The sequence below is a fragment of the Homo sapiens genome, chromosome 6, assembly GCF_000001405.40.
Source record: "Homo sapiens chromosome 6, GRCh38.p14 Primary Assembly".
Lineage (NCBI taxonomy): Eukaryota > Metazoa > Chordata > Mammalia > Primates > Hominidae > Homo > Homo sapiens.
Window position 1 is genome coordinate 160,340,220 of NC_000006.12, and position 25,213 is coordinate 160,365,432.

A 25,213-nucleotide genomic window follows, 5' to 3' on the forward strand; every position below is an offset into this window, starting at 1 on the left:
CCACGAGGGAGCCACTTCAGCCCACATGACATTTGTACGACTGATGCCAACATTTCCAAGCCTCAGTGTCCACACTTGTGAAAGGCTGGCAGCCCCCATCAGTGTGGTTCTGAGGATTACAGGACCACAATATGTCCAGCACACAGCAGGGCCCCTGGCACAGAGCCCATTCCGTGGAGGACAAGGAGGGCCTAACCCGTGGGAATGAAGTATAGCCTGGGAAGAGTGCGAGTTGAACGATGCAGAGGGAACCGGGGAGCCAGCCTGCCTTTGACAGTGGCTGCTAGCTTAAGTGGGGAGCCCCTGGTTTCTGAGGAAACCCCTGAGGGGAACATGTTGCCATGCTTGGGTGTGGCTGGAACCTGGGCACTGACCGGGCTGAACTGAGGAATGTGAGTGGGCTTTCTCACAAGAGGTTGGAGAGGCACTCTCGGTCTCAACGGGCTCTGAATTGCAGAAAGCCAGAAATGCACAAACCAGAGCTCTCTCATTCATGTTTAGGAAAGGCAAACAGGTCCCACGTACCCTTTATCTCACAGTAAATCTGAGATCAGAATTTGGACTGTGGATTCTAGGGAGAACCTAAGATATCTTAATATAAAAACAAAACAACACTTTGGTGACTTGCTGCTCATACTAGTTTCTTATCCATGAACTCTTCTCTTCTGCCATTCTCCTGGGCTTTTCTCTGAATGTTTACAGTAGCATCTCAGATGGAGTCTTCCCATTGCTGCTACTCAATATAAATTGTAAAATTATCTAGACAATTAGTTACATAAAACAAGAATAAAAGACAGTTAAAACAGAAATATTTGTATATACTCCTGTCATTTACATCAAATTTCCTAATGATATTCTTGTTCCCCTTCTGTTTCTTTGGGACTCATTATAAAAAGTTTTCCTTTTAAATTTTTCAGATGGATTTCACCTTTTCATGTTTAAGACATAGCTTTAAAATCTTACAAAACCAAATATTTCAGGCTGGGCACAGCGGTTCCTACCTGTAATACCGGCATTTTGGGAGTCTGAGGTGGGAGGATCGCTTGAGCCCAGGAGTTCAAGATCAGTCTGGACAACCTAACAAAACTCCATCTCTACAAAAGATACAAAATGTAGCTGAGTGTGGTGGTATTTGCCAGTGGTCCCAGCTACTTGGGAGGTTGAGGTGGAAGGATGGCTTGAGCCGAGGAGTTTGGGACTGCAGTGAGCTGTGATTGAGCCACTGCACTCCAGCTTGGGTGACAGAGTGAGACCCTATCTCAAAAAAAAAAAAGAAAAAAGAAAAGAAAAATTTTTGAATATTTCATCTTCCAGTGTTCTACAAACTGCCTCAGAAAACCTGCCTTAGTTTGTACAGGTTTTGTACAAATATGTACAAACTGCGCGAAAAATAACCTGGATGGCCATAATTTATACATTTTGGTTTCATGATAAAGGAAAATAACTTGAATCCGCTGCATTTTACAACCAGGAAATGGTCTAATGATCTTAATTTTATTGTATTTTGAGGAAGAAATCATTTATTGGTTTATACCACAATGAGAAATTATGATTTGACTCAGAAAAAATCACTTATAATTAAAAAATACAAACAAAAACTAATTGCAAAAGTAATCTACAAGTAGAATGGCGACTGTAATTTAAAATTTTTTTTAAGTATCCCATTAATACTTTTCACAAAAGTTTACATCAAACCTTCACAGTGTTATAAGTGAACCTGCCTACTTTAACAGTGTTAGGAATTTCAGTCTTAGCATTTATTGTGCCAAATCCAATGACTTCTGAACCCAGCACTATGGGCTTAGCATTGGACAGGCTCTGAGCCTGGAAGGTGAAGATTGGTCACATCAGGGTAAAAACAGTTTAATTCGACTCTTATACAACCACATGTGCAACATTATTTGGATAGTGATCCTCTGCACGTAGAGATGAAGCTTCATATTCCATTTTAAGATTTCTACAACACAAGCAAACATAGAAGGCCAAAAAATCCAGGTTTCCAAATTGTTAGAAACCACATCTGTATATGGTTAGAATGGAATATTCTAAGAGAATTTCAGTAGCTCTGTGGGAAAAAAATGTGATTCATTAGATGAGGCACTTTATGATGTGACTTAAGGGACAGGATGCCTGCCCTAAGAGTTGTGGAGGCCGATGAGGAGTATTGTGGCAATGTGGTGCTTCTCCAGCTGCATTGATCAGTGGAAGGTTGACCACCTTTTCACACTCATTCTGCCACTCTCCTTTTCTCTTCCTGTGTTGGACATTCCTAACCAGCTGGGGCCTGTTTTCCACTCAGCCTCAAAGTCAGCCTCAACACTGTGCTCTAGATAGCTCCTGCCAAATGAGAGTGGTGGGGCATGAGCAAAAGCCTAGTTCCCATCCCTGCCCAAAACTGCTTGATGAAAAGATACGAACTCTAGAATTCTCTTGTTGTAATTCAACTCTGGAATATTTAGTCCTATTTAGCATTTTCTTTTTGGCTACCCCTTTCTCCAAAGGTGACTTTAAGTCTAAGATCCTATAGGCTTTAAATATAGAAAAAGCATCTATTTCAAAAGGTCTGTAATAGTTTCCCCAAAAAATGAAGACTTTCCTCTAACAAAGTCCAAATCATAATCCACTGGCAAGTGACAGATAATTATGATTGCTGGTCAATTTAACTCAACTTTAGGGTCTATTTATAGGCCATAGAATAATGGGAGTGCTCTGTAGATTTTATTACATTCACATGCTAAGGTAAAAAACAGCAACTCCACGCCAGATAAGGAAAGAATGAGAGACTTTCAGACATTCTTATCCACTTGTTAAAAAAGTAAATATGAATTTTCATTTTTTTTTTCTGTAGGCTGGAGCACATGTACCAGTTCACCTGCCAAATTTCCCTCCCATGAATCTTAGGAAAAAAGTCTTGAAACCAACATTTATTATAGCATTCCCAAACTAATCTTCTTAGTTCTTTACTCTTCCCAAACTGCATAAGTGTCATGATGACTTAGTTCAGCAACTCAATATGTGGTGAATATTCTGGTATTGGTATATTCATTTCTAAATGCAATAAAACTACCAACTATAAAACTTCAGATGAATAAATTAAAATGATTACCTTTTTAAGAAAAGTTAATGTCAGCATGTTTTTACAAAAGCCTGCGGTTGTGGGGCAATTGATTCTTATTATTGCTATTTAACCAACATTTATTGATTACTATGTGTTGATTAGCTCTGTGCACCAGAATGTCTGGTGGCGACTGAAATGTTCTCTCTCTCTCTCTGTGCAAGCCAATGTGTTAGTTCCTGCACTTGTGGCTGCTGAGCACTTGGAATATGCCTGGAACATAATTATTCATTTTATTTAATCTTAATAAATCTACGTTTAAGTGGGCACAACATTTTGGATGGTGCAGATATAGAACAGATAACGGATGTTTCAAAGATACAAAATTGAGAGTGATTCGGTTTTTCTCTCAAAATGCCTACAATGCCATGGAAGAAAAAAAGTGCATACGTGATTTAAAACTAAGACTTCAACTGATTTTTGTGGAATTTGATAAAATGTAAAGGTTGTGTGGAAGAAAAAGAGTCCAAGAATAGTCAAGGAAATTTTGGAGAGGACAAGGTGAGGGGAGAGGAAAGGTGGGATTTGTCTTATTAGATATTACCAGATTCAGTAGGACAGAATGAAGGCTCAGAAACAGATGGAAGCAGGGGCAGGAACCTAATTTAGGAGACAGGCAATAGTGTAAGTCAAGAAGAAGTTCAGTTAAGTGGCATCTGGGCAAGTGGTTGTCCATTCGAAAGAAATAAGTAAAGTTAGATCCCACCATTCTCTGCACAAAAATAACTCCAGAGATATTAAACCTCAATTTGAAAAATAAGATTTAATAAGAATATATAGAAGAAAGTACTTAAGATCTCACACTAGAGCAGGATTTTTAGAACAAGTCTAAAAAAGCAGAAGCTATGAAGGAGGATGATCAGTTTTACTATACGACAATTTAAAATTTGTGTAGCATCCAAGATGCTAAAAGTTAAAAGACAATCCCCAGACTGAGAAGATTGTATATATACAGCTGGCAGAGAAGCAGAATACACAAATATGCAAATAATTTCCCAAAAATCCAATAAGAAAAAAAACCGCCACAAATAACAAAGAGAGCATAAGCAGATGATAGGAAGAAGCAACTCACAGAAGAGAAAACCTGAATGATGAATAAATATGTAAATGTGTTAGTCACATCCCTGACTAGATCAGAACAATGGGGCCACATTTTTCATCCATAGTATCTGCTAGCGTGGTTGAGTCTAACAAGACCAAGTGTTGGTATGGACGTGAAGCAACTCATGTGTTGCTGGTGGGATGTCAGTTGAGGACAGCCATTGACAGCAATGTCTAGTAAAGTTCAAACATGCACACTTATGGTTCATCTAGTCTACTTCTAGGCATTTATCTTTGACCAATTCTTGCATAAATACATAAAGAAATATGCACAATATGTTCACTGCAGCACAATTTGTAATTGTGAAAAATTTTAAATGAGCTAAATGTTCCCCAGTAGGGGAATGGAAAAGTCATAGGATGACCTTTCAATAGAAAGACACAAGAAGTTAGAGTAAACGAGCCCGATCTCTATATATCAAGGCTAACAGGTCTCAAAAATATATTGTAGAGTAAAAAAAAGGAGGGACAGAAAGCTACATAGAGTATGGTACCATTTATGTAAAATTTTCAAAGCACTCTAAATACTATCTACTGTTTCGTTGCAATACCTGTGTGTTAAAGGCTTCAAACAGATAAGAATCATAGCTTCCTGCGAATTACATCTGGGCAAGAGAGGCCTGGGGCCTTGCGGGTGCCCACTCAGGCCCTACTCCTGACCTCCTCAAGGGGCAAGAGGTTGCGCTCACCTCAAGCCAATCACCCTCACTCCCCAACCCACTTCCAACCACACTCTGAGAGCTGGGACCCTGGGATTCCCTGCCCGGTAGCTCTGAGCCCCATGTCCCAAAGAAAAGACCTAATGGCTGCCCCAAGGAGGAAGGGAGGAGACAGAGGATAGGATCTGAAGCAACAGGAAGGAGACTCCAGTCGTGTCTGTGATATGTCAGGACTTTATAACAATATATCCAAAGCAAACATAAGATGATGTTTGCTAATTCTGGGGGTGGGTGGTGGTTTTATCGCTCTTTTTATTATTAGCTGACTCTTACCTAGCACTTATGTTTCAAGGCCTGTTCTAAGTGATTTGCATTAAAAATGAGAGGGTTCTATTATTACTCAGTTTCACAGAAGAGGCTAAATAACTTGCCCAATATCACTCAGCTATAAGGAGGAGAGGGGGATTTGAATCCAGTGGGTCTGGCTCCCAGGTCCACCATGTAGCTAGCAACTATACTGGATCTATCTGTCCATAGGCTGAGATGACTTCCTTTAAAAAAAAAAAGTAATTAAAATTAAAATACCCTGACAACCACAATACAAAAAAAATATAGTGAACTTCCATGAAAATTTTCTTAGATATGTTAGGAGCACTGATGGGGACTGCATTGCTGAGGGAGGAAGGCCGTGGTGGTGGTTGCGGAAGACTTTAAAGAGGGGCTGTTGACATTTGAACCAGGCCTTGCTGGGTGATGGGCAGGGAGGAATAGGGGGATGAAATTCTAAGAAAAGGAAACTTTGTGTGTACAGGCATAGATTTTAAAAATTTCAAGAAGAATGTGAAGATTGGCAAGTAGTTCTGTTTGGCTGTCCACAGGGAACAATTTGAGGAGAAATACAGGTTAGGAGCTAGAAAGGGAGAGTGAGAAAGGAGGATTTTAGAAAACAAGGCAAACTGCTGAAGGTGGCACCCCCAAGCTGCACTGTGGGAAGATGATCCCAAGTGCAGGCTGGACCAGAGGACAGGTGCTGCAGGGACAGAACCCTGAGGGGAGCCCAAGGCAATCACATAGCTGAGATGAGGGGACATGTGAGTGTGTATGAGTGTGTGTGAGTGTGTGTGGTGGGGGAGTCAAGAAGCATCTGTTTATTTCACAAATATTTACTGAGCACCTACAATGCACCAAGCACTGTTCCAGAAGGTATCGATAGAAGAAAATACAAAACTGTCTGCCCTCATGAAACTTGAGTTGTAATGGAGAGACACAGATAAGATAAATAAATAAAATGAATAAGTATAAATATAAATATATGATAAATGAATAAAAACATATCTATGACAATATATGGTGATGATAAGTGCTTTGGAGACAAAGCAGGAAAGGGGGGAATGTGCTAGTGTATGCAGAGGTTGGGGTGGGTTGTTGACTGGTCCCAGTTCCCTGAAAATTCACTGACAAGAGGCAGATGGCTAGAAGAAAAGGTGTACTTATTTATTTAAGGTGTACATGGGGGCCTTCAGAAGGAAGGCCCAAAGATACAGGGGAAATTGCCTAGTTTTATGCTTAGGTTCAACAAAACATGGAGAGCCCTGTCGAAATAGGATTGGACCAAAAGGGTGTGATCTGATGCTGATACTGAGTGAGGAAACCCAGCGAGGCCGGTGGCTCTAGATTCTTCTTGGCCTCTCTGAGCAGCCTTTTTTTCCTTCTGGGTAAGGGGCAGGTTCTTCTGTGGAATGGGAGGTCTTAGGACTGCAATCAACAAGGTAGAACAGTTGATTTCTTTATGGCCAGTTTTTACACAGACAAGTGAGGGAAAATCACAGTGATATTTTTGTTTTATGACTGGCTTTGGGGAAAAGCGTTCTGGTTTCGATGGCTAGCCTGGGGGAGAATGGGACCGAGAGACAGGAGGGCAGAAGATGACACAGAGACTGCTTCTGAGGCCTTCATTTTGGCGTATTGTTTTCTGAGCTCCAACATTGGCAAAAGGGGTTCCAAGCCGAGATGACCTAAGAGTACAGGCCTGAGGAGTGAGTGGTGTCCCCGCCATACTGAGGTTCTGAGTCTGGGCCCAGGACATGGTTGCACCGAAAGGCAGGGCAGGAAAGGGGAGCTGGGTTGGAGGGGGACAGACTGAGTCTGGGGTCCAGCGGGCAGTTGAAACTGCTGGTGAGGACATGAGGCCAGTTTGAATCCAAGCAGCCTGGCTTCAAACTCCTTGTTCCGGAGGAGGAACCGCAAGTCCTCCCAAGGCCTTGGAGAAAAGTGAGCTAAAGGCAGAACGTGGGCCGATAACGTGGGGGCGTGGGGGGACCGCGACCCAGCCCGGGGAAGGCGTCCCAGCATGGACCCAGCAGCCTGGGCAGCCTGGGCGGGAAGTTCTGATCGCGCTCTGCCGAATTGGCAGGCGCAATAAGTAAGCGGAAAAACCAGGATTCAAACCAACCACCAACACCCTTCCCTGGCGTTCAGACCGAAGGTGGGTGGGAAGGCCCTGGCGAAGGAGGTCTGCATCAGGCCTGGCCTTGAGGCGATCCCTTCTCACCCCAAACCTCCTGGACGCTGAGCAAGCCCCTTCGCCTGTGTGGGTTGCCCGGCTGCCCTCTGGGGAAAGTTGGGTGATCAAATCCCAAGTTGTAGCTCTCGATGGGTCGAGGGCGATGGCCAGCGCTGTGCTGGGAACGGGCAGCCCTGCCCTGCCCTGCCCTGCCCTGCCCTGCCCTGCCCTGCCCTGCCCCACATGGGCGCAGGAGGCCTCCGCACGCGCAAGGGCCAAGGGCTGGAGGGGGCTCTCCCGGGCACAGGCACCGGACCCGGGGCGCGCGCGCGCGTCCTTAGTCCCCGGGCTGCACTCCGGGCCGCTGAGAGATCGGGTCCCAGAAGTTCCGGGAGTGGTCGGGTGACCCTGGAACTTTCTTCTTCTGGAGCCCGACCTGGGGCTGACTGCAGAGCAGGCTGCTGGCAGGGACCAAAAGGAGCTCCGCGCCAGGCCGGAGGCTGCGCCCGTCACTCGCGGTCCCGGCCGGGTCCCTGGCGCGTAGTCAGGCCGCACCGCCCGAGCCCCACCGCGCGCCCACCCCGGCCGGGTGCGTCCGGCTCGCGGCCGTCCCTCCCGCGACCTGTGGCCCGGGGCTGCTGCGGGCGCCCGGGGAAGAGAGGCGGGGGCCGCGGGGGGCAGGAGGAGCGGCTGCGGCCGGCACAGCGCCAGGGCGAGTGAGGCGGGTGGCGCGGGGGAGGCGGCGGAGTAAAGAGAGGCCGCCGGCTGGGTCCGCGGGTCACTCCGAGGCGCGGGCTGCGGGCGGCGGGCGGCGGGCGCACCATGCCCTCCTTCGACGAGGCGCTGCAGCGGGTGGGCGAGTTCGGGCGCTTCCAGAGGCGCGTGTTTTTGCTGCTGTGCCTGACGGGCGTCACCTTCGCCTTCCTCTTCGTCGGCGTGGTCTTCCTGGGCACGCAGCCCGACCACTACTGGTGCCGCGGGCCAAGTGCCGCGGCGCTGGCCGAGCGCTGCGGCTGGAGCCCGGAGGAGGAGTGGAACCGCACGGCGCCCGCCTCCCGCGGCCCAGAGCCCCCCGAGCGCCGCGGCCGCTGCCAGCGCTACCTCCTGGAGGCGGCCAACGACAGCGCCTCCGCCACTAGCGCTCTCAGCTGCGCGGACCCACTCGCCGCCTTCCCCAACCGCTCGGCTCCCCTTGTGCCGTGCCGCGGCGGCTGGCGCTACGCCCAGGCCCACTCCACCATCGTCAGCGAGGTAAGGGCGCCCCGGCCCTTTGGAAGCCGGCGGGAGAGGACGATGCTGGCTCCCAGGCGGACAAGCCGCGTGTGAGACGCTGGCCGCCAGGGGAGGTCGGTGGAGACGGGGACCGGTCGGCTACCTCTGGGGACAGACAGGATTCAGCGCACCCTTGGAAGTGCCGCGTCGTAAATGCTGGGAAAAGCCTTTCGTTATCTGCCTGAGCCCGTGAGTTAATGCACAGATACTTTGGTTTCGGGTGTGAACAAAAACTTTCTTCGAAGCCGAGTTGTAAACGCCTGGCGCACGCCTGCTCAGGAGTCAAAGACCCAGCACCGCGTTCCTTATCTTTGAGGTGTGCGGGCGCCGTCATTGGAAATTATGGTTAGGTGCGCGATAGGGAACTTCAGTCTCTGGGGTGAGCGACGTTGGCAGTTCCGGATTCGCTTATGGTCTCCAGGGTCAAAGGAAAGGGCGAACCAACGTTTGAAGGCAGCAGCAGCTTTTTTCCAGTTGCCCAAATGGTTACTCAAAATGCAAGGGGACAAAGGTCGAGGCTTTCCCGGGGAATGGTTTTGGTAAAATTGCTTTGGGGCAAAGAGCAACATCTGGGATAAGTTGGGAAAACTGAAGTATTGGATAAATTTTAGTTTTTTTTTCTGGTAATAAATTTTAGGAACATAGCGGGAGGGCCACAGCCTTCCAACGCAAATCCCCAACCCATTTACAGGCGGAGGCTGCTGCCGGCGGGTGGGCGGGGGCGATCCCCACATTTTGGGCAGTCAGTGCATTTGGAAGTTAGGGGAGCTTCCTTCACCCTTGCCCTCAGTAATCTGTTTCTGCATCCTTGCTGAAATGGAAGATTGCCTCTCTGTGAGGTCCAGATATAGAGCAGAGTCACTTTGTAATAATCGGAACTCAGAAACGGCCTCAATTGAGCATGGGTTGCAGAGATGAGCAGTTTTACTGAGCTTTGTCTACAATCACAGCTTAAGTTAATTTTAAAAAAAGATTGAATGTGATCAGGTACATTAGGAAAAAAGGTTTGTCTTTTTTTTGTGATAAACTTTAAAAAATCACCTACTTGAAGAGTGGGGAAAACACTGGATGAGGAGGTAGGAGCGCCCTTTCTGCCGCTGTTGCTGTTGGTCTGGTGAGCTTATCTCGCTGCAGTTGGGAGTGTCGGTGGTTGCAATTGTACATGTTTTATACGCCATGTGCTGGTGTGTTCGCACAGTGGATGGCTCTATGCTATGTGCTCCAGGGATAAAACCCATGGCAGGACAGCCAGGCGATGTGTGTATGTGTTTGGGATCTTTCTGTAACGCCGTGTGCTGCTGTGTTCGCACAGTGGATGGCTCTATGCTAAGTGCTCCAGGGATAAAACCCCCTGGCAGGACAGCCAGGCAATGTGTATGTGTGTTCAGGGTGTTTCTATAATGCCACATGCAAGTGTGTTCGCACACTGAGTGGCTCTATGCTGAGTGATCTCAGGATAAACCCCCCTGGCAAGACAGCCAGGCAATACATATGTGTGTTGGGATCTTTAATTTCTACTTAATCCATGGTAAGGCTGGGGACTGCTTTATAATTGGTGATGGTCTGGTTAGAGATTTCACAGTTGAAAGGACAGGGCATGGACTTGGATGAGAGAGGGCATTATCTCTGTGAGTCGCATCTGTTAGGTGGCTTCTTCCACTCCACTCAGCAGCGCTGCCTAATGCTTACTTCCCAAGTGAACCAGAGGACCCACATGGAGGGCAGACAGCTGATTTTTGGAGACATTTAAAGATGAAGAATAAAACGAGCCTCAACAAGTGCTCAAGCGAGGTTTGCATGAGTGAGTATGATCCATGGACATCAAAGAAGACAGACATAAAAATCTGTAATTTAATGCTCTGACGGATACTTTGGAAGCATTCTGGAGTTGCAGGGTTACTAGCATCCCGGGGTTACAATAAGGTGATTTTATGAAGATCAGTGGCTACTAAAATGCAGTGTGGAATGATGGAGGGTCAGGGGCTGGCTCGGTCTCCAGCTGGCTGTGTGGCTTGGGTGAGTTACTCGCCTTCTCTGGGCTTGTATTTTTCCTCTGTAAAATTAGCCATTGGATTCAGCCCGTTACAATGCTCCAAATGCCATCAGGGTCACCACCTGGTTACTGTTTGGTGTGCCCAGAACAATGATTAAAAAGTCTTTAAGAAAGTAGAATGATATTAGGAATGTACCCCGTAAAGCCCCAAAAAAGTTTTTGAAATATATTGGAGAGATTCTTTTTTGTTTTGTTTTGTTTTGTTTTCTTTGAGACGGAGTCTCTCTCTGTCGCCCAGGCTGGTGTGCAGTGGCGTGATCTCGGCTTACTGCAAGCTCCGCCTCCCAGGTTCCTGCCATTCTCCTGCCTCAGCCTCCCGAATAGCTGGGACTACAGGCGACTGCCACCATGCCCGGCTAATTTTTTGTATTTTTAGTAGAGGCGGGGTTTCACTGTGTTAGCCAGGATGGTCTCGATCTCCTGACCTCGTGATCCGCCCGCCTTGGCTTCCCAAAGTGCTGGGATTACAGGTGTGAGCCACCGCGCCCAGCCTCTTTTTAAATTCCAAATAGTTTTGTGCTTCTTTTGGTTTGTTTTTCATGTTTGGTTTCTTAAGAGGAAAACCCCCATCTATTCATAAAGTTCAACTATCCAAAACAAGTCAGCAACTCTCTGAATTCTGCATAGCTAATATTTTGCTGTCTTTGGTTCAACTAATTTTTTTCTTTCAAATTCTGTCTGATGAAAGGAACTGTAGTTCCATCTTCAGCTAACATTATGTATCCAGTGTATTTTTATAAACTTGAAGCCTAAGATACAAATCATGCAAAGGGGTGAATTGGGAGAGTTTACAAAGTGGGCGGGATGACCAGACTCCAGAATGCCTCCATATAGCTATAATACTTCATCCTTGCACCATGGTGGGAGGGGTATCATTGTCCTGGCTTCATAGAAGAGAGACCTGAGGACCTTCCAGGGTCCCACGCCATTTATGTAGCCAAACTGGATTCAAATCCGGGGGCCTTGATTGTAAGTCAGTCCACTTTCCTCCATAAAGTGCTCAAAATCCTTCAAGCAAGTCCATGAAACATAGTACTCAGATCTCTCACACTTTATAACCTGCAGAAACCTCGTTGAAACTTTGTATTTATTTTCTTACTATCATGGTCCTCCAATGGGCTACTTTGTTTCATTTTACGGTGTCAGGATCCACAGTCAGCCAGACTGGCAGATGGGGAGGCTGTGCTTTCATTTGGTGGGAATGGTTCTCTAGCCTCCTGATGTGAAAGTTGCAAAATGGTCATTTAAATCTCATACACCACCTTCGCATCTTACAACTTGAGATAGTTCTAAGACACTAAGTCAGAAATCAATGCCAAGGGCACATCCCTTTATGGCCAGCTCCTAATTTGTGTCTCCTGCTCAAGGCAAGGCAGTGGATTTATCACCCACATTGAACTTCCTCAGTGGAGACTTTTCTAATGTCCGAATCTCGGCCTTATCTTGTTGTCAGATATTGGGCAGAATAAAATACAATGTAACGCAGAGAAGCGAGTCTGACCCCCTGTCCCAAATATTTCAATTCACTGCCCAGGGAGTGTCTTCAAGATTGATGCTAGGATTTTTCAATGCTTGCTAATATGGTATGGATGAAAAAAAAAGAGCTTTTCCCTAGGCTATCACTCAGAGCAGGGCTTCAGAACACCTTTAAAAATAGACTGAATCACATTTGTTTTTCCTTTCCAGATCATTTTGACTTGGAATCACTTTTTCCCTTCCAGATTACCTGGCTGAATCTATAAAAACTGAATCCATTGTTTGTTTTTATTAGAAGAGTGTGTCTTTCCCATACTTTCTGAAACATCAACAATTCAACAAAAATTTTATGTTGGCCCTTGTCCCTCAGAGTAACTAGTCCTTTCTGTTGATGACAAAAGTGTTTTAATAGTGTAATAGGTTTTTGTTTTGTTTTGTTTTTTGACAAAGTCTCGCTATGTCACCCAGGCTGGAGAGCAGTGGTGCAATCTCAGCTCACTGCAACCTTGCCCCCCGGGTTCAAGCAATTCTCCTCCCTCAGCCTCCTGAGTAGCTGGGATTACAGGCACCCGCCACCGCGCCTGGCTAATTTTTGTATTTTTAGTAGAGACAGGGTTTCAGCATATTGGCCAGGCTGACCTCAGGCGATCTGCTTGCCTAGGCCTCCGAAAGTGCTGGGATTACAGGCATGAGCCACTGCACCCAGCCTAATAGTTTATTTTTAATGGAGTGAAAGCAGGACTCTAATGAGTGAACAGCCACCCCACTAGGTGTCTGATTCTTGGTCTAGGCAGCAGAATGGCCAAACAGATTCATGCAGCAATGCTTTCTGGACCTCAGAACAAGGAAAATATTTACAATAAGGACCTTCATTATGAGAATGTGCAAGAGTATCTCCTGCTCCTCTCTGGCAGCTGATATTTTGGATTATCAACATCAGTTCAGCTGAAGTTTATTTAGCATTTATTTTATTCTAGGCACTGGGCTAGGCTGGGGATACAAAGATACACGAGTCTTTCTCAAAACAGCGTGAAGCTTGGCAGGGAAAATTGCAGCGATAATGTGATGACAGTGGCTGTGGGTGTGATAAAGGGTACCACCCTCTGATGGGACAGAGGAGTGAACCAGGGCAGAAAGTACATTGACCTTAACCTCAACCTCTGAGTACAAGGAGGAGTCCAAGAGGAAAATATGAGGGAAAAGATGTTCTATTCTCACACCCTCTCATCTTCATTATTTTCTCTGCACCCATTTATTTTGTGCCCTCAGGAGCAGTGGTTGGTGTGCATTCTCGGGTCGCACACACAGGGTTTGGAATCAAAAGACGAGGGTTGGAGTTCAGGAATTTTCCTTTTTCACAAACATCTAGGGCCCTTTTCAGATGGTCCATGGACCACACAGAGAGACAAGCTGGGTGTTTCTTAATGAGGAGCATGATGAGAATATAATGACTGGGAGAGAATTGCCAGTTCCACCAAGCACACCCTGGAGACTCTCAGAGGGGAACATTATCCCTTTATCCTCAGACAGGTATCCCAAATCTTATCAGATGAAATGCTGCTGTTTATTTTCAGAGAGCTTTGAGCTCTCCAGGGATGGGCAACTGATAATAAAATCCTGGAATTAACTGGGGAGCGGGGGAAGCCCACAGCTGAACCACACTTTCTGGGAGTCTTGGTAAACCTTAGAAAGGAGCTTTGGGCAAAGGTAGGGGACTCCAACAGATGTTGCAGAGACATCTGTACTTTTGGACCCACGGGTTATTTTTGGCATTGACATCTTAGTAGAGTGGAAAGAATACACATGTCCTTTGGTGTCAGATAAATCTTGTCCTAAATCCCAGCTCCTCTATTAACTTGAAGGGCAAGTCAACTGAGCATCTGCCTGAGCCTCAGTTTCCTCAGCACTAGAATGGGTACAAGAATGCCTGCCTTAGCAATTGGCTTGACATATGCTTGCAAAGTGCCTGGTCATAGGTGGTGCTCAGAACAGTTGGTTCCTGTGAACACATAAAGACCCTTAAGCCAGGTGGGAGTCAGGAGGGAGGGAAGGAACAGGCTATGGGCCAGATTTGACCCTGGAGCTGTAAGTTTGCTGATCCCTGGTCTAGCATAATAAATCACTGATAAATTTGCCTTAAATATAAAGAGTCAAAGCCTTGGCCAGTTGTGGTGGTTCATGCCTGTAATCCCAGGAGTCTGAGGCCAGCCTAGGCAGCATTTTGAGACTCCAACTATACAAAAATATTTTAAAATTTTTAAAAAATTGGCCGAGTGTGGTGATGCATGCCTGTAGTCCTATCTACTCAGAAGGTTGAACCCAGGAGGTCGAACTGTGCTGCTGTATTCCAGCCTGGGTGACAGAGGAAGACCCTGTCTCTAAAAAATAAAATAAAATATCTCGGACACTAATTTGCTCTAAAGGCTGAGAATACCGATACTTTCCCACTGGACCCCACAGGTAGGTCATATTTCCCAGCTTCCCTTGAAGCTAGAGAGGCCACGTGTCTGAGTCCTGGTCAGTGATGTTGGGGAAGTGAATGTGGAACTGCTAAGCCTGGAGCCGGAGCAACCTTCCTCCTGCAGTCCCCGGAGGATGGTGGAACTCTTACACGGAAGGATATGCGTTCCTGGAGGCATGCGAGGCAGGCAGGAGCCCCACAGCTCCCCTCCACACCAATTCATCTGCACAGGAATATGGGATTGCGAATAAGAAATAAGCTTTATTGTGTTACACAACTGAGGCTTGGGAGACTGCTTGTTGCAGCTCTTCCTGTTAGGCTGCTCTGACTCATACAGCATCTTAGTGTGCTTCCTGGCAGGGCACAGGTCACGAGGCTGTGGGCACCTGACAAAATGGTATGGAGGCTGGTGCCTCTAAGAGCATCCTCCCCTAGGTCTGGTACACAAGGTCTCTGTGCCTCCACCCCATGTCTCCGCCTATAGAGGCTTTTCCCTCTCTTAGCCCCCGGGGCTCCCACTCTCCAGGCAGTCACCCTGGGACATGTGCCACAGCTGTCCTCCCCTTGGGCTCTTGTGTGCGCTGTTTCCTTTCCTTTCCTCAAAATACCTGTCTTTCCTCGGCCGGGCACGGTGGCTCACACCTGTAATCCCAGCACTTTGGGAGGCCAAGGTGGGCAGATCACGAGGTCAGGAGATCGAGACCATCCTGGCTAACACGGTGAAACCCCGTCTCTACTAAAAAAAAAAAAAATACAAAAACGATTAGCCAGGCATGGTGGCGGCTGCCTGTAGTCCCAGCTACCGGGGAGGTTGAGGCAGGAGAATGGCGTGAACCCGGGAGGCGGAGCTTGCAGTAAGCTGAGATCGCACCACTGCACTCCAGCCTGGGCGACAGTTAGAGACTCTGTCTCAAAACAACAACAACAACAACAACAACAAAAAACTTGTCTTTTCTCATGAGGCTGTTCCGTTTTGTACCTTTACACACACCAATTCCAGACACACCTTCCCCACTGCTGCCTCTACCCAGGGCTGGGCTTGGCTTCCTTTATCTGTCTAGCTGCCTTCCCTCTACTCATCTTGTGCTCACTGCCTCATCAGACTCTGAGGTGCTGGAGGGCCGGCGCTCTGCCCTCCTAGCCTAACGCAGTGTTTGGCAAATATTTGTGATTAAATTAATGAATGAAAGAGAAAGGGATTCCTTGGCACGTGTAATGCTTTTTATGACCATGGCTAGGCCAACCCTGGAATTGGCTTTCAGAGATTAACCCAGGCCCTCTACCGATGGTGTTGCTTCCTGTTGACTCCTAACGCCGATTCCTTGCCTCATCCTCCGCCTTCATCATCTTCTGCCTTGCATCCATGAGGTGTGATCAGTCACAGGGTGAACAATCATCGGCGGCCATGGCCGCCCGCAGACCTCTGGAGCAGGAGGAAAACAGGCCTCCACTTTACTTGACTCCTATCTGCTCATGGGGTCTGTGTCCGCAGAATCCTAATGTAGGGGGTGTGACCTGGAACATGAAAGGGACAGGAAGGAATAGAACTGCTGGCTCTTTGGGGCCATAATTTTAATGTGCTGACGTCCATTGTGCAGAAGAGACTTTTCCCAGCTGTCCTGGCACCACACAGTAGTCTGTGTCATCAATCGAGCCTGCTCCAGGGCAGCTGGGCACAGGTGCAAGGCCCGGTGCAGGGAGGAGCACTGAAGGGCCTGGGCTGAGCAGCTCCCAGGGTGCAGCGCTGTCCCCTTCATGGCTATGGAGTGGGGAGCAAACACCACCTACCTTCCAAAACAAACTAAAACCTTTCCAACATTCTGCCTCGGTTTTTTCCCCACCCCCTCTTAAATCATAACCAAGAAAGGACATGTATTTATATTCTGTGAGGAAAAAGCAAAGTTTTAATGGTCTTTGGTGTGGCTTTTTAAAATGATAAATGACTGTTGAGCTTGTCAAATCATGGCTAATACTGTTTTATCTGGGTGAGATCAGTAACAGCTTTTTAAGGGTTACCATGCTGTTATTTCTCTTCGTGTTGGTAATAAAGCAAAATAACTCTGTGGCTGGTACTTGTGTGATAATAGAGAAAATTAGTGAGGGGTGAAGTTTAGGGGCTTAGAAGAAGGTGAATAAATAAATGTAATTTAAACAATTCTGGGGCAGGCATCCATCCCACCTTCCTTAACATCTGCTCTAGATTCTAGTGCCCTGTAGAGTCCAAGGAGGGGAGCTGTCCTTGACTGTGAGCATAGTGGAAACCACTGGATGGAGGAAGGGTAGGCACAAGCCTGGACCTGAGAAACAAAGGCACCTATTCTGCTTTCAAATTCAGTCCTGGGAGAGCAGGTGACCTCTGTCATAGGACTGCTATAGGGCACCAGCAGTGGAGATAACCAAGTGATAAGCAAGTCTTTGGCTTTCCATTAACAGAGACCACTGGTCCCAACATGGAAAAGCGTCCCAGAAGCCTTTCCCAGTTGCTGCGTCCACCTAGCATACACACAGGATGGCTCTGATTTCATGACACTTCTGCCAACGGGAAGCTTTGGGCAATCGACAGCACAAAATGAAAGACAACATGTGTGCTTCCAGGCTAGTGGGGAGGGACGCCGTAAGCTGATGCTTCTGAGACAGAAACCGAAGGGACAAGGTGCCAGGAGCTCCTATACTAAAAACTGTTTGTAGCACATTTATGGGGATTAAGTGGTTGTGGTGAAAACAGCCTGCACGTTTAATATTGATGACGTTTTAAAAAGCAATGCACTGCAAATATCTGTTGAGAAATGAATGCCCTTTAATTGTTCACAAATGAGTATCTTAAAGAAAATACCCATAGAGAAGTCACCTGGATAGTTAAAAACATTAACTACCCAGGGTAGAGGAGAAAATTAGATTGAAACTAATTCAGATTAATTTGGCATCAACTTTAAAGAAATCAAATAAATAAATGTCCAAGTTATTAGAGTGTAAGAAAGTGTTCCAGGAACCTTTTCCACAGAGGTTCTTGATCTTCCTGTGTGGCAGTTAGTGGGAAATTATGTGACAAATTTATCACATCTCTTGTCAGCTCCTAGCATCCTTGTAAGATTGCTACAATTCCCTATCCAGTCTGTATCTAATAGAGCATACATAATGATTTTTATTTTAATTCCAACCAAGTTGAATACATTATAAAACCAAATAAAATTGTCTATTTATCAACTCCAGAGATCATTAGATAATAACAATTTATTGTTGCAGAGTTTTGTGAAAAAATTATCAAATTTTAGATCCAAACTGGTTTAGTGTAGTGTATTGCTAAGGCAAATAGGTGGCTAAGAACGTAGACTTCCTAGTTTTGTGGATGCAAGCAAATGGCTGAATTTGAGGGTTTTTGAGCTCTGGACTAGCCCAGTCCTGAGATTTCCTGGTTTTAGTGGGGAGACTTAGGTAAATAAGGCATTCAAAGTGCTTGTCCTGTTGTCTGAGATATGTAAGTAGCTGGTGATGATCATAGATGCTGACAACAGATACTGAGAAAGTTGACTCAGAGAGGCAGCTTGGGCCTGGAAATTCAGGCAAATGGCAAGCCCCTAGGGCTGAGGGAAGCGTGCTTTAGGCAGGGCACCAAGATTCCAATACTAAGGACGTGGCCAGGGTCCACTCTCTGGAGCTGGTATAAACTGGAGCTTAGTAATGAAAACTAGGGAAAGGCCCAGGGTAGAGGTCGGAGCTACCAGATTTGGCAAGATTTCTCAAGCCCCCGTGGATTCAGTTGTGATATAGAGTGAACAATCCCCCCATCCGGGTGGCTCTGGGGACAAATGAGAAACATGCAGGAACCGCTGAGCATGTGGAAGGTCCTGGGCACATGCCAGTTCCCTCCTTCTTGCTCTTTGTCACTAACTGTGGTGCCCAAGTCCTCCCCTTGCCTGGTCTAGTCTGGGGTTGCTGGATGTGGACTCACTCAGAACCCCACACTTCTTTCCAATTGCAGTCTGAGCAGAGGGACGCTGGGACAGAGCCCTGGACTTTCCTAAAACCGGGAAATCCCAGGACAGGACTAGACCAGAGCTCAGTGAGGGCTGAAGACTCAGCTGTGGGGCTGCAGGGCTTGAACTCCATCGCATGTTTTCTCATGAGCCTGGAAATCCTTCAATAAATATGAACAACAAAAGTGCCCCAAAGGTGCTGTGTTAGAAAGGCACCCATCTGGCTCATGCCTGTATTCTAGTTGAGTCAATAAGGCAAATTTACCTTATGTTGTTTGTGGGCAGTTGCAATGGTCCTATAGGCAATGAAAACATCAGATCACAGTTTGCTTGTGTTGCTGTGAGAATCTGACCTCAAAGAAAATACTCCCCCAACCCAAATCCAAATCTATGAAATGAAGACACAGCAGTTGTGGTGGGGCACTAATTATGAATGTTGAGCTTCAGGTTAGGGTTGAAGTAAATTTGGGCTAAAGTGCTTTATATATTGAGCATTCCAATTCTCATAACATTGAATAGACACTAAAACTTAATTTACGAAAGTAGTTTAATAGCCAATGGGGACAAAAATTTATTCTTACAGTTATCAATACTCACTTCCTGCTTAGAAACTTGTTTTCTTCCTTAATTACCAGAAAACAGAGTACATTTAATAATCAATCATACTAAATTTAAAATTAGGGAAAGAGAGCTTATGGTGTTCAGCAAAAAGGGAAATATCAAAAAAGACATCTTAGCATCTGGATTTTTTGGCCAAAAGGAGAGCCTGCAGTTTAATTAATGGTCTACATCAAACAGGATATTTTATGAAGCAATAGAAAGCTGTAATTAAATCTAGCCTTCTGGATTTGATACATCACAAAACCAGGAGATAAAAACAACAGAAAATTGGTGATAGGGTTGAAACTCAACCTTGTTCAAGAAGCATTCACAATGGAAGCTGTTGACCTATATTCTATATACTTTACATTTCAACAGATAGTCTATGTTTGAACAGTGATTTTTTTATATGTGAAGATTTTCTGTAAAGAACTGTATTAACATTTGTAAACAGAGTCCAAGAAAAATTAATTATGACTCCTTTTTTGGATTTCACATTGGTACAGCATGACCTTTAACTCATTATCTTATTACAACTATTAGAAGAATAGTAAAAACATATTTCATATACTTTTCAAATATTTATAATCATAGTATTCTTTTTATAATAGTTTTCAATTCTTATTTGATAGCATGCTATACAATTATTTTTCCTTACTAAACTTTCATAGACATTTCACTTAAATGATTTTTCTTTTTTTAAACCATATAACCTGTCAAAGTATAAAAGACACATACAAGCGGCCGGGCACAGTGGCTCATGCCTGTAATCACAGCACTTCGGGAGGCCAAGGTGGGTGGATCACCTGAGGTCAGGAGTTCGAGACCAGCCTGGATAACATGGTGAAACCCCGTCTCTACTAAATATACAAAAATTAGCCAGCCGTGATGGCAGGCTCCTGTAATCCCAGCTACCTGGGAGGCTGAGGCAGGAAAATCACTTGAACCCAGGAGGTGGAGGTTGCAGTGAGCCAAAATCACGCCATTGCACTTCAGCCTGGGCAACAAGAGCAAGACTCTGTCTTAAAAAAAGGATATATACAAGGTACAAATTATTTGAATTAGTCTATATTGATCTCCCTTTTCATTCTCTCAGTTTCTCTTTATTAAACCTCTTTCTCTTAAGAACATAAACAAACAACAACTACTAGAAAAGCTTTAAAGTCCAGCATTAGTCAAATTGAAGTACTGTCCTGACCCGGAAAGCATTATCCAAGAAAGTGCATTTCAAGGCCACCTTTCCTAAACCAGTCTCAGGAAGGTCCACGCTCTATTTCCCTTTGCAAAAGCATTTAAGTTAATGCTGATATATGATTTGTATTTATTAACTCCCCCCCGCCCCAACCAATGTAGTCTTTTTTACCTTAACCTATTATTGACTTGGTGACAAGATATAGAGTGATCATGGAGCTGGGATCCATGTTCCTATGTGTCATCAGTTAGAAGAATGAAGAGGCCAAGGGAGTCATTCTAATATTTATATGGAAGAATAAAGGCCCAGAAGCAGGTAAATCATTCTAAAAGAAGGGGTAGGGAGTAAGAGGAGGGCTTCCTCTACCAGAAATTAAAGTGAAATTCCAAGCCAAAGTAATCAGAACAGCATGGTATTGGAACAAGAACAGACAAGTGGACCAGTGAAAAGATCAGAGCACTTGGAGACTGACTCCACCCAGGGGAACATCATATACAATAAGGATGGCCTCATAACTCCATGGGGAGAGGATGGATTGTTGGCTAACTGATGTTGAGAAAAGTAATGACTCATCAGATATGGAGAATGATCAATCTGCCTATCACCATGTACAAAGGTGGACTCAGGGTGAATTGAAGACTTAAATGTCAAAGTAAAAGGTAATATTAACAAAGGAACATACAGAGAAACATGACAAGGTCAGGGAAAGACTTTTTAAAGAAAAGTATAAGCCAAAAATGGATTATCTAGATTATATCAGATTTCTGCCTCATGACAGATACCATCAGCAGAGTTAATTAAGTGATGACAATGATACTGAGTAGAGCCATGCTACTCTAATCAAGGGTCGTTATGGGAGTTATACAATGCATATTGTACAATGCATATTGAAGCCAAAGGCTTCAATAATGTTCACTGTGTGCTCAACACTGTTGTAGACACTTGACATGTGTTCAACTCACTTAATCCCTACCCACTTCATGAGGCATGTGCCATTTTTGTAGATTTTTTTTAGAGGAGGAAAGGAAGGTACAGAGAGATTAGATAATTTGTCCAGAATCTGGAGCTGCAGGATAGGAGACTTGGAAAAGAAATTGCAATGTCTGAACCAACAAGTAATTAACTGACATCTCTAGAACAGGAAAAGAAGTTCTGTAAATCAACAAGTAAAAGATAGCAAGTCTTGCAGAGGAATCAGCAAAGGATACAGATAGTTTTCATGAGAAGAAACTTCTCCAAAAGGCGACTAAGCACATGAAGAAATGTGTGTGTCTGGGGAGCTTTCCCCTTCTAATACTAGGTCAGTTTCTGTGTGGTAACTTGAGAATACAATGAAACATCGTTTAAAGTAACCTGTGGCATGTTACTGGTACCTTGCAGGCTAAATACATCCTAAGTGTGCTAATACTGCAGATACCTTGATCCCCTTAGGACAGTTGACCCAAGCCTTCCCAGGAGCTGTTTACCTGGGGGTGTCACCTGGCTGCAAAACAGGGATGAACAATGCACAGATTTCAGGGGTCACCCAGGGATGCTGCGACCTCAGAACACGTCACATGGAAGATGCCTCTCAGTTTCCATCTGAAAAGCCTGGTATTAATCCAATAATTCAATCACCAAATTTAGTAGTTGCATTCCCCAGATTTTCTTTTGGGCAATCCACAGTTTGTAGAATGCTTTTCTGTGTTCCCAGGTTCAGAATTTCAGGGATTGCTTCTGTCTTCAAGGAGCACTTCAGCTTCCTGGTTAGGAAGAGAAGGTAGCAGACGTGTAGAAAACCCTCTGCGAGACTCTGCTCTGGCAGTTTTATGGGTAGGCGCAGGCCTGCCTGAAACCAAACGCTTTCCTTTTTCCTTCACCCTTTCCCGTTGTTGTCTTTTTGGTTCCTTTGGTATGGTAGTGTCTCCATGTGAGTTTCCAGGGAAGCAGAGGCTGAAGCGAGGGCGTGGGAGCTGTTTCATGCATTAGACTCTCTGGGGAGCAGCCACAGGGAGGGGACTGAGGGACACCGCGGGATGTCCAGAGAGGCCGGTCCCCAGCGGGTGGGGGCGGGCCAGACGGTGCGGAGGGGGAGAGGAGGAAGACTGTGTCCAGGGCATGAGCCTTCTGGCATTGTGGGTTCCCCCACGCTCCAGCGCCGGAGGGGACCCAGGCGGCACCAGCGCGTTAGGCTGCCCCCGGGAGCAGTGCTGCAGGAGCCCCGAGCTCGAGGTGGTGCCGGCAGCCGCGCGCTCAGAGCTCCAACAGGGCTGGGCCGCGGCCAAGGAGCCAGGAGGGTGCACGAGAACGTCCCATCCAGGGACCCACGGATACTTCGTTCCTGCCAGGGTCTCCTTTGGGCCGACAGAGTTGTCTCTAATTGAGTGCAGGCAGCCCCGGAGCCCGCCGAGAGCTGAGGCTGGGCTGGGCTCCCGGGGACTCGGGCAGCTATTTCAGGCAGACGCGGGGCATCGCGCCCCAATGCGCACAGTGTTGCCGAGGGGCAGAAAGAGAGGGTCTCAGCCTAAGCCAGGTGGAAGGTCCGAGAAGAGGCTGGAAGGGGGCGATGGTCCAGCAGGAGCTGGGATGAACAAGGGCTGGAAGAGCAGGTGGGAGTTCCAGGTGAGGGAAGTGACCTGGAAGCGGAGCAGAGGTCGCAGCTGGCCCCTGCTGGGCCTAGTCTCGCTTCTGTCGTGACCCCTTGTCTAGGAAGATCCCATCGCGAAGGCCTCATGAGTCCCACGTGACCGGCACGCCTGTGAGGCAGGAAGCTCAGAGTCCAGGCCCCGTGCCCCTCTTTGGGGGCTAGAGCTTCTCCCAGGTGCAGGCAGCCTGTTCACAAGAGCGGGGCCCTCCTGGGTGAGGCCTCAGGCTCCGGTTGTCACCCCTGGCAGGCGTGTGCCCAGCTTAGATCCACCTGCAGCTGGCTCTGAACGCTGGATGGGGCTGGGTTGGGGTTTTCCTGTGGCCTGGGGTGAGTCCCAGCAAGCCACCACCATCCTTGCCCACTCCCCACAGGACAGAGCATAGACCCTGTTCCTAATCCTCCCAGGCCACACTCCGCAGAATGCTGCTTCTCTGTTTCCAAGCGCCTGCATGTCTTGCATCCCCTGCCACCATCTTTTGTCCGCCTGAAGGGGCAGCCCCATAAACCTTACTTAGACATGTCCCTGCCCCCAGCACAGGGGCTGCCTTCAAGACCGCCTTTGTCTGTGGGGTTTTTCCTTGATGACTGTTCAGCATGCCGGCCCCACTTTCTTCTGCTTGCATCTGGGGTTCTCCCAGGCTGACCAGCTGTCCCCACTTGCTGGGAGTGAAGGGGTTTCCTGGGATACGAACTTTCAGTATTAAAACCAGGAGAGTCCCAGACAAACTGGGACAATTGGTCACCCTAACTGACCCACAAGTAGAAAAATGATTCATAAAATGTATAATAATGAAAAGCTGTGAATTATTTGCATGTATAATAGAGGGAGAACATGGTTAAATAAATGTGGTGTAGCCATTTGAAATAGCTACTACAGGGATGAGGAAACAATACCTATAAAATAACACAGAAATGTTGATGACATATTAAGGAAGAAGAAGTCTGGGTTATACATTTGTGCAAACTGTATGATTTCAACCATATTTGTACACTCCATGTGGTAGATGGGTTGTTGGAAGGTAAAGACTGGCTGCATAGGGGCCCTAAAGGTGAGAGCTTTTCAATACTGCTGCTTACGCTTTCTTCTTAACTAATTCAGATATTATTTTGCCAAATGCAGAGCCAGGAGGTGTGAAGCAGCCTTCATGGTGGCACCACATGTGACACAGATGAGTAGATGGGTGCAGCGTTGACAATAACTGCAGTCATATTGTTCATCTTGATGGGATTTCTGAGTAACAAGTCAAAGATGCAGAAATTAAAGTATACAAATTGGATTGGGTTTTCAGTAAAGGAAAAGGCACCAAATCGTTTCTCAGTAAGGCACAGTAAAGGGAGGCTATCAAAACCTATTGTTAGTAAAAGTACCTATTGATGATCTCTTAAGCAAAATTGTTACCTAGTTGTCCACGTGAAGGAAAGGACTCTCTGAAAAGAGGGGGCTGTTTAGAGAAGAATCAAGCCTCTGGCACCAGAGGGGACTCCCCAGTTAGGAAACTGTTGTAACAAAAGGACTCCATCGCTCAGAGCAGGATCAGATGATAAATCAGGCTGAAATGGTATAAGAAACCTACAATTACCTTCCTCCATATGAATAATTGAAAAGGCAATGGCTTCATTTAGGTTGTAATCTGACTTACAGCTTTTAATAGCTATGCTCTGTTAAAGTGTACACATTATCTTTTACCTTATTGAGTTTATATTGCTTTATATCAATATAATGATTTTTTTACTATGTAAAAAAATACACTTACATAGTAAGTATATTTACATAGTAAAATCAATAATTTTTTTTACTGTGTAGCAAAATACACTTACTTGATTCATGAACCATTAAGTTTTTAAAATCTGTGTGAGATAATGTATTCTCTGGGTTTATTTTGACTACTGAAAATTTCTAGTCACAAGACATTATAGCTAGATACATTCCAGGTGTTTTTAAATGTTAAACTGTCTTCAGCATCAGAAATGGCCTCATGAGGTAAGTCATTATTTTCCCCTATTTTCAAGGATGGAATTGAGGCTGGGAGCAGTTTTGTGACTCACCCAAGTTAAGATGTCATGAAAAATTGTTTCCTTGCAAGGTCTGCCACACCCTAAACCAATGTCCTGTCCCAATCCACCTGACTTGAGGGCTGTTAGATTTTAGATGTCAGAATCACATGGAGGGCTTGTGGAACC

General features: G+C 45.9%; 1 protein-coding gene across 7 annotated transcripts in view; it reads left to right on the forward strand.

Moving 5' to 3' along the window:
* The first annotated feature begins 8,158 nt into the window (after window positions 1-8,158).
* SLC22A3 (solute carrier family 22 member 3) overlaps window positions 8,159-25,213 on the forward strand; it is a 104,200-nt gene continuing 87,145 nt past the window's right edge. For 4 of the 7 annotated variants that reach the window (NM_021977.4, XM_047419262.1, XM_047419261.1 and 1 more), the window contains exon 1: window positions 8,159-8,629. In NM_021977.4, coding sequence (NP_068812.1) covers window positions 8,201-8,629 — 429 coding nt within the window. In that variant the 5' untranslated portion in view covers window positions 8,159-8,200. Of the gene's footprint in view, window positions 8,840-8,860; window positions 8,967-9,438; window positions 10,452-25,213 lie in introns of those variants that run through there. The other 3 variants (XM_005267106.6, XM_011536076.4, XM_017011203.3) reach the window with 3 other exon arrangements.